This window comes from Homo sapiens, chromosome 1 (genome assembly GCF_000001405.40).
Source record: "Homo sapiens chromosome 1, GRCh38.p14 Primary Assembly".
NCBI lineage: Eukaryota > Metazoa > Chordata > Mammalia > Primates > Hominidae > Homo > Homo sapiens.
The window spans coordinates 59,917,510-59,931,572 of record NC_000001.11 but is presented as its reverse complement, the minus strand read 5'-3'; the positions used below and the strand labels follow the sequence as shown (position 1 = coordinate 59,931,572).

Genomic DNA, 14,063 nt, shown 5'->3' with positions numbered 1-14,063 from the left:
CTCTGTTATTCTGCCCACTAGTAATACTAAGACAATATGTTATATATGTTCTACTCAGTTTCACTTGTATTTTTCCATGTGTGTGCTTTAATTTAAAAAAAATGTACACAATGTCAAACTTTTTTTCTTCTTCCTTTTTTAAATATCAACTCAATGATTTGGGGGACTGGTTAATACAATGCTGAGAACTTGGTTGGGCTCCCAGAGGAAAAACTAATGATAATATGGGGTCCCTCTAAGACTAGGCTCCCCAGAATTTCTAAACTCTGAATCTTATTCACACTGAGCATCTAGCAATTTGTCAATTACAGCTTAAATATAAAATTTCAATTTTGAATTTAAAGTTTAAATTTTCCTACTGTGGTACTGGTGGTTTCTGCTCCCTAGGCTCTGATCCATTAACCTGTGATTGTTTGCATTTACCCGGATTGTGTGTCTCTAATTTTAGGAGTAAAAGTTTGCCCTGTTATCTTACTTTTCTTATCAATCTAAGAAGAGTTGTTAACTTTCTGTTTGTTCAGCTTTTTTCTTGTTGCGAAGACAGGAGTGATGACTTCCAAGCTCCATTCACACTGGACTGGAAACCAGACATATTTACAAATACTTTGTATAGCAGTTAAAAGGAGAAAGGAGAAGAAATACGCATTTATGCCATCTTTTATGATTGCATAATGAACTTTGCAATTTGTGTTTCCACGTAGTGTCTAATTACTGCCTAGGGTCATTTTCTTTCAATCTAAGGACATTCTTAAGTATTTGTTAAAGTCTGCTAGCAATAAATTCTCTCATTTGTTGTATTTTTTTAATCTGGAGATAGCTGTTTTTTCCTTCATTTAAAAAAAAATAAACCATCTGCTTCATATAAGATTCTTGGCTGACACTTTTTTTTAGGGAGAAAACATTCACAAATCATATATTTGATAAGATTAATATACAGAATACATAAATAACTCCCATAATTAAACAGTAAAAAATTAAACAGCCCAATTAAAAATTGGCAAAGAACCTGAATACACATTTTTCCAAAGAAGATATATAAATGAACAACCAGAACATGAAAATATACTTAGCATCACTAATTATTAGGGAAATTAAGATCAAAATCACAATAAGATGCTACTTTACACATATTAGGATGAATAGTATAACAGAAGATAACAAATACAGATGAAGTGGTGGAGATATTGAAAATCTTGGGCACAGCTTCTAGGAATGCAAAATGGTGTAATCACTATGAAAAACAGCATGGTAGTTCCTACAAATATTAAGAAATAGAACTACCATATGATCCAGCAACTCTGTCTCTGGGAACACACCCAAAAGAATTGAAAGCAGAATCTCAGAGATATTTACACACCCTCATTTGTAGCAGCAGTATTCACAAAAACCAACAGGTGGACACAACTCAAGTGGGTTAACAGTTTTCTGAGTTTTTTTCTTTTCTTTTAGCACTTAGAATATATCATCCTACTGCCTTTTGGTCTCCGTTTTCTCTAATTACAAGTCGGCCGTTAATCTTTTTGGAGTTCCAACTTACTGAATGAACTATTTCTCTCATGCTGCTTGCAGGATTTCCTCTTTGTCTTTGTCTTTCAGTATTTTTACTATGATGTATTTGAGTGTGGATTCCTTTGCATTTATCCTACTTGGAGCTCACTGAAATTTTTGGATACATGGATTAATGCTTTTCGTGAAATTTTGGAAATTTTACAGCTATTATTTCTTCAAATATGTTTCTGCTCTTTTCTCGCCATTGTATTCTATGGTATTCTGATTACATATATGCTGGTGTGTTTAGTGATGTCCCACATTTCTCTGAGATTGTTTGTTCTTTTTTTCTGTCTCTGTTTTCTATGTTGCATAATCTATATCAAGCTATCTTACAGTTCACTGATTCTTTCCTCTTCTACTTTACATCTACTGTTGATCCCCTATAGTGATTTTTAAAATTTCAGTTATTGCAATTTTCAATTCAAAATTCCACTTTTTTATAATTTCTATCTCATTATTGATATCCTCTATCTGTTGAGACATTGTCTCATACCTTACTTTACTTTCTTCACCATGATTTTGTTTAGTTCTTTGGACATATTTATAATTAAGTTGCTTTACAGTCTTTGCTACGTTTGACATCTGGCTCTCTCACAGGCAGTTTCAGTTGCCTACTTTCTTTCCTGTGCTGGGTCACACTTTCCTGCTTCTTTGCATGTCTTATCATTTTTTGGTGAAAACTGTACATTTTAGATAATATATTATGGCAATTATGGCTAATGATCTGCTCTTCTCTCCCAATTCTTTTTGTTTGTAATTTCATTTGTTTACTGACTTGACAGGACTGACTAATTTAGTGAAACATATTTTCCCCACAGTGTAAAGCCTCTGACATCACTTACCTGAGGGCATGGACTTGGGTGTACACACAGTCACAATACAACGACATTGGTTTTAGCAGGGCTGTCTTTGACTTTTTCTCTGTTCTGTATTTAAAACTGTCTGCCCCTGTTGGTATTACACACAGTCTCTGCTGACTTCCAGCTGATTGCTCTACTGTTTTCAACAATGCCTTGGGGCATACATTACTTCAAAATTTGATGCAATTAAATTTGGGCTTCTTCTCAGGAATAGTCTTTGAGGCCAGACTTTGAGATTTGTTCTGGTCCCAAGAGGGTTCTTCCTAGCTAACTCTTGTGCTGACCGACTTTGGTAAACTTCTAGTTAGCCTATGGTTTATCCTCTTGTTCTCATAGAATTACCAGCCTCCTATTAATTGCTTACCACCAAAATCTCTATTGTTTCAGGCATTCATCTCTGGTGTTTGTGGCTAACCTCTCCCAGTGTGGAACCTCTATCTCATGAGAAAGCTGGGATGAGGGCAATTATGGCCCGGGGTAGGTATTATTTCTGCCTTACAAGTCAGGGCTGGATGGAGGAGGATATCCCTAGACCTCTTAGCCAGTCTTGCCTAGAATAGAGCTTCTGCAACATGACATTCTGGGGGCTGGGTATAAGAAATGCTGGCAGTTTTTCCATCTCAGGGAGATACTGTAGCCTTCATTTGAGAGCTAGGGAAAGTGTTCTTGGATTTAACTGTCTAGAATGGGGTTTCTGTCACGTTGATCTGGGGACTAGGAGAAAGAGTGAGTTATGGCTCAAATGCCACAGACTCTTACTGTGTTTACTAGCATTTAGTAGATTCTTCTTAAATAAAATTTATTTATTTACTGTATGCCTTTAGAACAATTTTCAGGGACTTAAATTATTTTAGTTTTATAAATAATTTTTAGCAATCACAATTTTTTACTAGGAAGAGGTTCTGTGGGGTTTCTCATGCTGCCATTATGGAAGTCATTCCCCTGCATCATTCTTTAATGCAAAAAATAAAAAGGAAGGAGAGATATAACAAACCTGACGTCCACTGATACGGGAATGAGCAAATAAATTGTGGCATAGTAATAGAATACTATCCATCTATTAAATTAAGTGAATTAGAGCCACATATATCAGTCAGGATAAATCTCAAACACATAATACTGAGTTGTAGAATAATTCGTGTAAAAATATCATATATAAATATTAGAAATATTGTATGGATGCATAACAGCTGTAGTAAAACAGGAAAATGTGGACTAGAAGGATAAAAGCTAAGCTCTGACTAGTATTTCTCTCTGGACCTTAGAAAGAGAACAAGAGACTTCAACTCTCATTTCATTTCTTGCTCACACCTGTAATCCTAGCACTTTAGGTGGCTGAGGTGGGCAGATCACCTATGGTCAGGAGATTGAGACCAGCCTGACCAACACGGCGAAACCCCATCTGTACCAAAAATACAAAAATTAGCCGGGCATGGTGGCATGTGCCTGTAGTCCCAGCTACATGGGAGGCTGAAGCAGAAGAATCGCTTGAACCCGGGAGGTGGAGGTTGCAGTGAGCTGAACTCCAGCCTGGGCGACAGAGCAAGACTCTGTCTCAAAAATAAAGAAATAAAATAAAATATTGTAAGCAGAATATGTGACTCTATGTTGAGTACATGAGTGTGTACTATACTATTCCTGAGCTATGTTTCATGTTTTCAGTCTCACCATTTGTGAAACCCAAGCAGGCACTCACCAGATGGTATGAAAGGCTGGAACCTGGAGGTCCCACAGTCTTGGGGCTTTGGAGAGGAGCCTAATAGAGCAAACCAGCAAGGATCGGAACTAAGACATTCCTTCAACAAATGTTAATTAAGCACTTATTATGGCTGCTGCTCAGTGCTAGCAGCTTTGGTGTAGTGCCTTTTAATCTTCCAGACACTTTCAAATACAGGACCTCGTTTAGATGTGTTTCAGAAGGGTGGATTTATTTGTTCACCACATACTTAGTACTTAACTTTTCTGTTTCCTCAACAGCAAGATGAGACTACCGAGAGCTTCTCCTTCATAATTTTGTCAAAATGAAATAATAATCTATGTAAAGAGGCGGATGTGCTGCCTGGCATATAGTAAGAGCCCAAGAAATGTTAGGTACTGCTGTTGTTATCGCTGTTTACCAGGCACAGTTCCAATCATAGGAGAGACGGTGATTGAACCGAACAGAGGCTCAAATGTCTGTGGCGCTCTCAGTAAACCCATGAGCTTTCTAAATAGAAAAGAAACTGCTCCTAGCCTGGCCTTTTCTGAGACCGGTGCGTGTCCTCCCGGGAATCCAGCGCCTGGCATCTTCGCAGGGTGCTGCGAAGGGGCGGGCTGGGAGGCGGGGCACGGCTGGGAGCGAGGCGGGGCGGGGACCGTCGCCTGCTGGGACCGCCGCCTGCTTGGACCGCAGAAGAGCAGGAGGACGTCTGAGCCATGCTCGCGGCGATGGGCTCTCTGGCGGCTGCCCTCTGGGCAGTGGTCCATCCTCGGACTCTCCTACTGGGCACTGTCGCCTTTCTGCTCGCTGCTGACTTTCTCAAAAGACGGCGCCCAAAGAACTACCCGCCGGGGCCCTGGCGCCTGCCCTTCCTTGGCAACTTCTTCCTTGTGGACTTCGAGCAGTCGCACCTGGAGGTTCAGCTGGTAGGAGTGGGAGAAGGTGCCTAGCGTGTCCTGACCCTAACTCTGTTCTGCAGCACAAGGGACGTTCCGGCAACGTGGGTGGGGTGGGGGATGAAGGGCAGGAAGAGGTGTGGCTAACGCTGGTAACCTGGTAAAACCCACTTTGAGTTTCATTTCCTAACCCATTAACTGGCATGATTCCACCTGCACTTTCTAGGGATGGAATATTATTAAATGTTTACTATTTGCATGTTGTCATGTTAAACATTACTGGAACACCTTACTTGTAATGTGATTACCTTGCCCTCTTTTATATGATTGTCCTTAAAAATGCTATACTTTCTTTCTGAGAAACTTCATTTCCCATACATAAAATGGTGATAATACTACCTCAATCTTGATCATTTCTCAACTGAGTTATTCCCACTACACTAACTGAGCCCTCCAGCTTCAACCTCCTTCCCTTGCAGTGCACTCTCACTAAGTAATAATTTTAAAATGTTCTTCCTCTGCTTAAATTTTTGCCAAACGGTGTTCAGACTCCTGACTGAACCACCTGGGACCCTTCTTGATGCAGCTTCTTTCCGTCTCTATACAATAATCTCCTATCAGGGCTCCCCGACTCTGGTGACCAAGTTCTTTCAAGTTCTCTCAGACATCAAACCCTATCTCAAGAAACCAATACTGGTTTTCCTGCCACTCAGCACAGGTAACTTGCTGAGAGACAACAGTGTGACAAGTGATTATGAAGATTAGATAAAATAGTGAATGGTCAATACTGACATATAGTTGGTACATAACAAATAGTAGTTCCCCTTTCCCTGCACATGCCTGCAGTACTTTAAACACATGGCTGTATATTGCCCTCAAATATTGATAGACAAAGTTTTATCACTTTATGGGAGAAATACCCAATTGGTAATACTAAGTGACAGAATTAGCCACAGAATGTTAAAACTAAGCCCCCAAACCTGTGTCCTTATTTAATTAATATGTTGTTTAATTTCCAAGTATGTGGAGATTTTCTTGTTATCATTTCTGTTAATTATTTCCAGTTTGACTCCATTGTGGTCAAACATCATACTATGTACAATTTCAGTTCTTTTAAATATGTTAAGGTTGATTAAATGACACAAGATATAGTCTATCTTGATAAATGTGCCATGGAGGCTGGAAAAAATATGTATTTGACTATTGTTGGGTGGAATAATTGATATAAATTATTGTTGGGTGAAGTAATTGATATCAATATCAATTTGATTTTACTGGGTAATGATATTGTTTGGTTTGCCTATATCCTTGTTGACTTGTTATCTACTTATTCTATCAATTACTGAAAGAAGAATGTTGAAGTTTCAAAGGACAGTTGAGAGTATCTATTTCTCCATTCAGTTCTAGTAGTTTTTCCTTCATGTATTTAGAAACTCTGTTGTTTTGCACATACACATTTAAGATTATCATGTCTTCTTAGTGAATTGATCCTTTTATCCTGTAATGTCCCTCTTAATTCTTCATAATTTTATTTGCCTAAACTGTACTTTATCTGATATAATATAGCCACAACTTTTTTTCTGATTAGTATGTGCATGGTATATGCATTTCTATTCTTTAACTTTTAACCTTCTTGTATTATTATACTTGAAATTAGTTTCTTGAAGGCAGCATATACTTGGGTCTTTTTTTTCATTCTGGCAATCTCTGTCTTTTAATTGGTGAATGTAGACTATTTATATTTAATGTAATTATTGACATATTAAGATTTGTCTACCATTTTATTATTTATTTTGTTTTTCCTGTTTTTTATGCCTCTGTTTTCCTTTTCCTATCTTCCTGTGAATTACTTGAACATATTAAAAATAATTTTATTCTTATTTATCTGAGGTGTTTTTTAGCAGCTCTGTTTGTATTATGTTTTACAAGTGATTGCTCTAAGGATTACGATATGCAGATGTAGCTGATTGCAGTCTATTAGTGTAAAAATTTTACTACCTCAAGTGAAATATAGATATCTTGCAACCATTTAGGTTCCTTTACCCTCTCTACTTCATAATTGTTGTAAGTGTTATCTCTATATACATTGAGAACTACATCAGATAATATTATAATTTTGCTTTTGAATGTTAAATGCAATTTTGAAAACTCAAGAGAATAATAGTCTATTGTATTTACTCATTTATTTACCCTTTTCATTTATCTTTTTTCATTTCTGATGTTACAAGCTTATCATATCCTTTCAGATCTGAAGAACTATCTTTAGATATTCTTTTAGTGCAGGTGTACTGGCAAGAAATTCTCTTAGCTTTCCTTCATCTAAGAATGTATTTATTTCACCTTCATTTCTGAAGTATATTTACACTGGACATAGAATTCTAGGTTGACAATTCCTTTCATTCAACATTTTAAAAGTTTATGCTTCTTCTTTTTGGCCTCTGTGGTTTCTGTTAAGAAATCTACTGTCATCTGAATTGTTATCCCCCATATGTAATGAACTTTTTCTCACTGCCTTCCTTCAAGAAATTTTCTTTGTTTTTGTTTTTGTTTAATTTTCAGAGGTTTAGTTATGATAGATCTTGGTGCTACTTTCTTTGGGTTTATCCTGTTTGGGTTTCTGAAAATATAGATTTCTCTTTTGCCAGTTTGAGGGAGCTTCTGCCACTCTTTCTTCAAATATTTTTCAACTACACATTCTTTTTCCTCTCTTTCTTGGACTCTTGGATACTGATGGCACAAATGTTAGGTCTCTTGTTGTGCCACGAGTTCTTGAAACTCTGTTTTTGTTGTTTCCAATGTAGTTTCTCTGTGTTGTTTAGTTTGAATATGTTCTTCTGAGCTGTCTTCAAATTCACAGATTCTGCTATCATTACCATTCTGCTATTGAGCTATTTTACTGAATTTTAAAATTTATTCTATTGTATTTTCAGTTCTAAAACTTTCACTTGGTTCTTCTTTATCTTTTATTTCTTTGTTAAAATGTCCTAATTTTTTGTTTGTTTTGAGACTATTCATAGTTATTGGAAAAGCTTTATAACAGCTGCTTTTAAATATTTAATTATTCTATATTTCTAACATCTGTGTCATCTCACTGTTGGTGTCAACTCACTCAATTGATGTTCTCTTGATTCTTGGTAAGGTGAGTAATTATGGACTATATCCTGGACATTTTATATATTTGTTATAAGACTTACCCTGGATACTATACAGATCTTTTATTTTAGCATATAGCCTATTTAGATTCTGAATGCTCACTTTTGTGGGTGGCAGTTCAAATATCAATGCAGGTTATAAAGCCTCTGCAGTGCTATTCTGGTCTACTCCACTTTTATTACCCACTCCCACAGGAGCCCATCTCACATTCTCATCAGTGCAAGCTGGGGAAAAGGAAGATGGAACAGAAGACAGGGATCCCTCTGGCATAGTAGCTTATGCTTTACTACGGAGGGAAGAGAGTCAGAGATCTGCCTATATCTCCTCCAAGGGGAAGTGCACCTCCTTATTACTGTAGAAGAAGGCTGGAAAGCCTAATTTGCCCTCTGACTCCTGCAGGGAGTTTCTTTACTTCAGCTTAGGAATAGAAGTCGCAATTCAGCTCACAGACTCAGCAGAGAAGGGTACTACCTCATTATTGCAAAGTAGGCTGAAAGACAAGGTACTATCCATGTACTCCAGTGCTATAGGACCTTTTAGAGTTGGGAAGGGTCAAATGTTTTTCATGGTATTTGCCTCCACAACAAAGAAGTAAAAAGGCTAAATGGTTTCTGTCCTGTTGGGTTTTCCTTTTCCTGGTCCTTTGGCTAGAGAGAGTAGACTTTTCTTAAAGATATTTTTGTCTGTGTTAATTGGTGTCATGATTAATAGAAGTAAAATGGAATGCTTTTTTTCAACCTTATCTGGAATAAGAAGCTTGATCTGCACCTTTGTTGTATTCCTAAGATAGGTGTTAAAAGAGGGGTTAAATGACTTGCCTAATGTCACAAAACTAGCCAGTGACAAAACTGAGACTGGGATCTCATCCTTGGCCCTGTGATTTTCTTATCACACTGTCATCATTTATTTTTATTTTATATAGGTTTGCATTTTTATGTTTCTGGGTGTAAAACAAATGGAGTTAAATTATGAAATTTAGTTATAATTAAATTTACATTCTTGCAATTGGGAAACATTAAGTACTAACTAATAGATCTTACATAAGTATTTTTATGTCAGTTTTCATTTCATCTTCATGATGGGCACACAAGTTAGGTATGATCTGGTGGTGCTTCCATTTTACCATGGAGCAAAATGACTGAGAACGAACAGTGAACTGCCCGGGTTATTCAGCTAAATAATAACAAATAAGGATTTGAGCCCGAGACTATTTGATTTGTATACCTATTGTGGGATCTGGCCAGCAGCCTGCAGTGCAACAGGGCTCTTTCTTTGTTCCCAGGTGGATCGGCAGGTCGAGAAATAAAAGATACACACAAGATAGTGAAAGCTGGGTCCAGGGGGGTCACGACCTTCTGGACCTGCGATGCCGCCAGTGCGCTGGATATACCAGCATTTATTATTAAGTTTAGTGAGGATGGGGGTAGGTTAGTGAGGGATTTAGGGTTGTTTGATTATGAGGTGAGATGGTCACATGGGGATGAAGTAATTCTTTAACATCAGTATGCAGAAGTACAGTATACAGAGATAAGAATTTACAATATAGTGTGTGCATCAGCAATTTCTAACAGAGCCTTAGAACAGAAACACAGTCTATCCATAACCTATGATTAGCAAGATATTAATCAGCATGGTTAATCTTGCCATGGCTCTTCTAGGTCTCTTTAGGATTAAGGCATACTCCTGAGAATTTTTGGTCTAACCGGTTGTCTAGCTTCACGTCCTGTTTCTACTGATTGTTTGCAACCAGCTTTTGCTAGACAACCGGTTAGACCAAAAATTCTCAGAAGGGAGTATGCCTTAACCCTAAAGAGACCTAGAAGAGCCGTGGCAAGATAAGGGCGTTTATAACCCTATCTTATCCATGTGAACAGGTGCCCCTCATGGGTCCATTTATAGGCTCTCCACAAGGGTTGCATTCCATTCCCAGAGCTATGATCATCTGCTTTTCTGGGATAGGAATCTTGGTGATGTGAAACCTCCCTGACTGCATGTCCATTTATAGGCTCTCTACAGGGGGAAGCACATCAGGCACTGTTGGCTCATTCTGGCAGCCCAACCTGGCATTGTCTTTACACAATCCTGCATGCAATTTTGCATTTACAATAATCAGGAGCATTTCATCTTTTATTCCGTAACAATAGTTTCAGGGGGTCTCCCTACATATACCCATTATCTACTTTATGTTGCCTGACTTTTCATGACATGGTTAGAGGACAATTGATGTACTCACATGTTTATTCACTCAACAGACATTTATTAAGTGCTTATCATATGCCAGGCAAAATACAAGGCTGTATATGACTAAATGTATACTGTACACTCTTGGTAACCAAATGAGATATAAGGAGATTGGATCACTGAATGGAAACCCTGGGGATAACCTTTTGTAGAATGTTGGAAGAAATTGGGCTAAATTTTAAAGGAAATTTTGATTTTTGGCAAGTGGCTAAATGGAGTAAAGGGACAGAAGATTTTTAATAGGGGAAAATGGTCTGAGCCATAATAATTTTATTATTAATTTTAGTATTATGATTACTTATCACAACAATACTAAACATGGGAACTAATAAAGTCTATAAAATTTGGAAACTAAGACAGAGAAAAGTTAAATAACTTTCTCCCAAATCACACAGAAACTAAGAAGCAGAACCTGGATTCAAACAAGTTTGTATAATTTCAAAATCCAAACTCTTAAGCACTCCCTTACATCACCTCCCCTACTCAAACATCTTAGAATTCTGATTGAAAACCAAACAAGATCCAAAATATTATACCTGATATTAAGACTCTCCTCAGCCTAGCTCAGATTACCTTGTCAGCCTTGTCTCCCATCTCCCTTATCAACTGAGAAGATGCTTTTCCCAGGAGCCTTCCTCAACCCTGGTCCTCTTATGTGGTTCTTAACTTCCTCCCATCAAATATTTTATTGTAAAGAATGATAATAATGAGAAGTGATTATTTATCTATATGCTCCATTAGATTGTTAGCTTCTTGAAGTGAAGGACTTGTTGCACTCCCCAGCACCTGGCATTGACCTGCCACATGGTCAGTGCTCTTTAAATAATGAACCCTATGCTTCAGTCAGACAAGGTAGCTCTCTTGCTCCCAAACACCTTCTGCATTTCCCCTTTACATCTGTATATGGTGTTCTCACCATCTAGAATGCCTTTGATTTCTTACTACATGTTTTTTATTATCATTGTGGTTTGGGGGTTGTTGGTTTTTGTTTGTCTGTTTTTTGGTGGCATCCTGACTTTCATTTAAGATCTGGCTCAGATACCATCTACTCTTTAAAAAGATATTTTTCTTATATCTGTGGTGGAAAATCATCTCTTCTTGCGATAGCTTTATGTCCCTCTCTATCAGCATAATAACACATGTCATCTGCTGTGCATTCCATTTTTTTTCTGCACAGTCAGTCTCTCCCAAGAGACTTTGACACTTTAGGAACACATCATATCATATTGATCTTTGTATTACCTCCATGTATGATATGCCAGTGCCAGAAGGTGCCTGGCAACTCTTAAGCATCTCATAAAAGCCTGTTAAATTGAACATGAATTTAATCTCCACAGCCTGTTCTCAGAAACCAGCGCAGCCCCAAGAACTACCTGTGAGACCATTATTCTTGGAAGGAGTTCATGGGCCCCAGAGGACTGGTAACTCCTGAAACTGCATGCAAAGCTCTTTATGTGTATAGCTGTGTATGTGTTTACTAGAGATCAGGTCTATCATATACATTATATTTTCAAAGGATTCTATAACTCAAAAAAGTAAAGAACCACTGTTTTAAAGCTTTATTTCCCATTTCCTTGTTTATTTTTTTTTCTTTATTGGATAAAAAAGCTTTTTGACTGTAAAGGCAACAATACATACACAGTGAGACAACATATTAAAATACAGTTTAAGGAGAGAGAGAATCTTACCTGTCTTTGTGCCTATCCTGCCACCACTGTGCATGCGTGCACACGTGCACATGTGCACACACACACATACACTCAGCGGTACCTCTATAGGACCTTGGTGGATATCTTTCCAGATTTGTATGTAAGTGAAAATAAAATTATATTTCCAACTTTTTATTAGAAATTCCACGTTATCAATGAGAAAAAAGTTGAATACCTTGATACAGAAATGTTTGAAAGACATAAACATACGACTTTAAAAATACAACATCCAGATTGAGGGACAGATGTTAAACCTCAGAGAAATATAGAAACAGCATGCATTTTTGTGCCTCTTAGGATCTCTCTCTCTCTCTCGCTGTCACACACACTCACAGAGGCACAGCTCAGGGGAACAGACCCTCTGACCTACTGCTGGTAGGAGTGTGAATTAGTACACTCTTTTTCTGTTTTTCTTTTCCTCTTTTCATGTCTTTGTTCTGTTGGTTATTAAATTTAAGAACTTAGATTCAGTGGAATCTCTGTAAACTTTATATCTCTTGGTAGCCATGGTTCAATAGTTCAGTCTCTTCTCCCACTAATCCTTTACTTCTTCCTCTTTACTGTAAACATTTATTTTGTTCCACCCTTTTTTAAATGCTTATGCTACATTTGGAATTTTTATTCCTAGCATTACATTTCCTGTCTCCTATTGCTTTTGTTTGACTTTTATAGATTCTGTTTCAGTTCTTTTCTTTTTCTATTTTCATTTCTGATTTTAAGACTGTTTTTGCCTTTCAAAAGGCATCTTATTTTTATCTCCTTTTGTTTTATTCTGTTAAGGTTTTTTTTTTTTCGTGGCTCATTTAATGATATACAATTGAAAAGTGTGCCCTGCCTTACAAAGTCTTCTCAGAGGCCCTCTGGGTCATTTAATCTTTCTAAAGAAATGGATAAAATGACTGACAGGGTGCACGTAAGAATTGTTAGACATCGCCATCCTCATCCCAGGGCTCCTACCCCGTGTTTAAACAGTTGATAATACCATACAAGTTTTTTATCTAGTTCTGTTTAATTCGAAATATGCAGTGGCAGAGAGTTGGTAGAGATAAAATTCTTAGGAAGTTTATTTCAGTAAATAGTAATGGAGTTCTGAATCCCTCCCAAGTACAAGCTAAGATTCTAGGCTGTATACTTTGCTAGTTAGAAGTCATTTTTAACCTGAGATTTTTCAGCTCTTCCAAAAACATCCTTATTTAATGTCCTAAATTAGTCAAGAAATCCTTCTTGTCAGGCCTAAGAAGTTCATCCAGGAATTCAGCAAGGGTACATTAAAAAAATTGCTTAATGTGTATGGTCCCATTACTGCCATTTCTTAGAAGCAAAGATGCTTACTTTAGGAGCAAACTGACTTGAGATTGAATCTCAGCTCTGCTTTTCCTAGCAAGACAGGACATGCTGTGTAGGAGATAAGGACTGATGGAGGACTCTGGGCCAAAAGAATACAAGGACTGAGTTCAGGCTTGGACTTTAATGTGGGAGCAAGGTGGTGGGATAAGACTGAATCCACTGTATTTGCTCCGATGGGGACCATTAGGAACAGGACTCTAAGAGGAATATGGTGGAGTGTAAGTGCAAAGGCATCTGGATTGTGGAGAAGAGGCCACAAACACCTAAAGGAAATGAAGCCCTTCGGATTGTTACCACTGCCTGCAGCTAGACACAACCCAGGCAGAAAAAAGGCAGGGGCAGGGTCTACCTGGGACCCTCTGTTGAACAGATACATTAGGAAGGATTTTGATTCGTGACCATACACTGTCCTCCAACCTACATTTGCAGATATTTGCACACTTGTGCACATTCATGAACATACACATCCCCATTCTCCCTCTCTCCCACCCCAACTCTCTCACTCTCACTCATTCTTACTTTCACTCTGTCACTCCCACTAAACTCTGTCACTCAGGTTCTGGAGCCATCTTGGGCTCACGTCTTTGTCCTCAAATCTTACATAATG

General features: G+C 37.8%; 1 protein-coding gene across 5 annotated transcripts in view, besides 1 other annotated feature; it reads left to right on the top strand.

The window, feature by feature from the left end:
- Positions 1 to 14,063, top strand: part of CYP2J2 (cytochrome P450 family 2 subfamily J member 2) — a 75,905-nt gene that overhangs the window by 37,640 nt on the left and 24,202 nt on the right. For 3 of the 5 annotated variants that reach the window (NR_134981.2, NR_134982.2, NM_000775.4), the window contains exon 1: positions 4,800 to 5,036. The exons of 1 other annotated variant lie outside the window; for it this stretch is intronic. Coding sequence is in view for 1 of the 4 variants with exons in the window: in NM_000775.4 (NP_000766.2) it covers positions 4,827 to 5,036 (210 nt within the window). In the remaining 3 variants the exon portion in view is untranslated. Of the gene's footprint in view, positions 1 to 4,799; positions 5,053 to 14,063 lie in introns of those variants that run through there. One more of the 5 variants, XM_047447498.1, reaches the window with a different exon arrangement.
- Positions 4,917 to 5,452: an enhancer, noted in NCBI's record as "H3K4me1 hESC enhancer chr1:60391793-60392328 (GRCh37/hg19 assembly coordinates)". NCBI's record gives its function as "activates a minimal SCP1, AML or CMV promoter by ChIP-STARR-seq in naive H9 embryonic stem cells {active_cell/tissue: H9 hESC(naive)}" and the evidence as "EXISTENCE:reporter gene assay evidence [ECO:0000049][PMID:30033119]".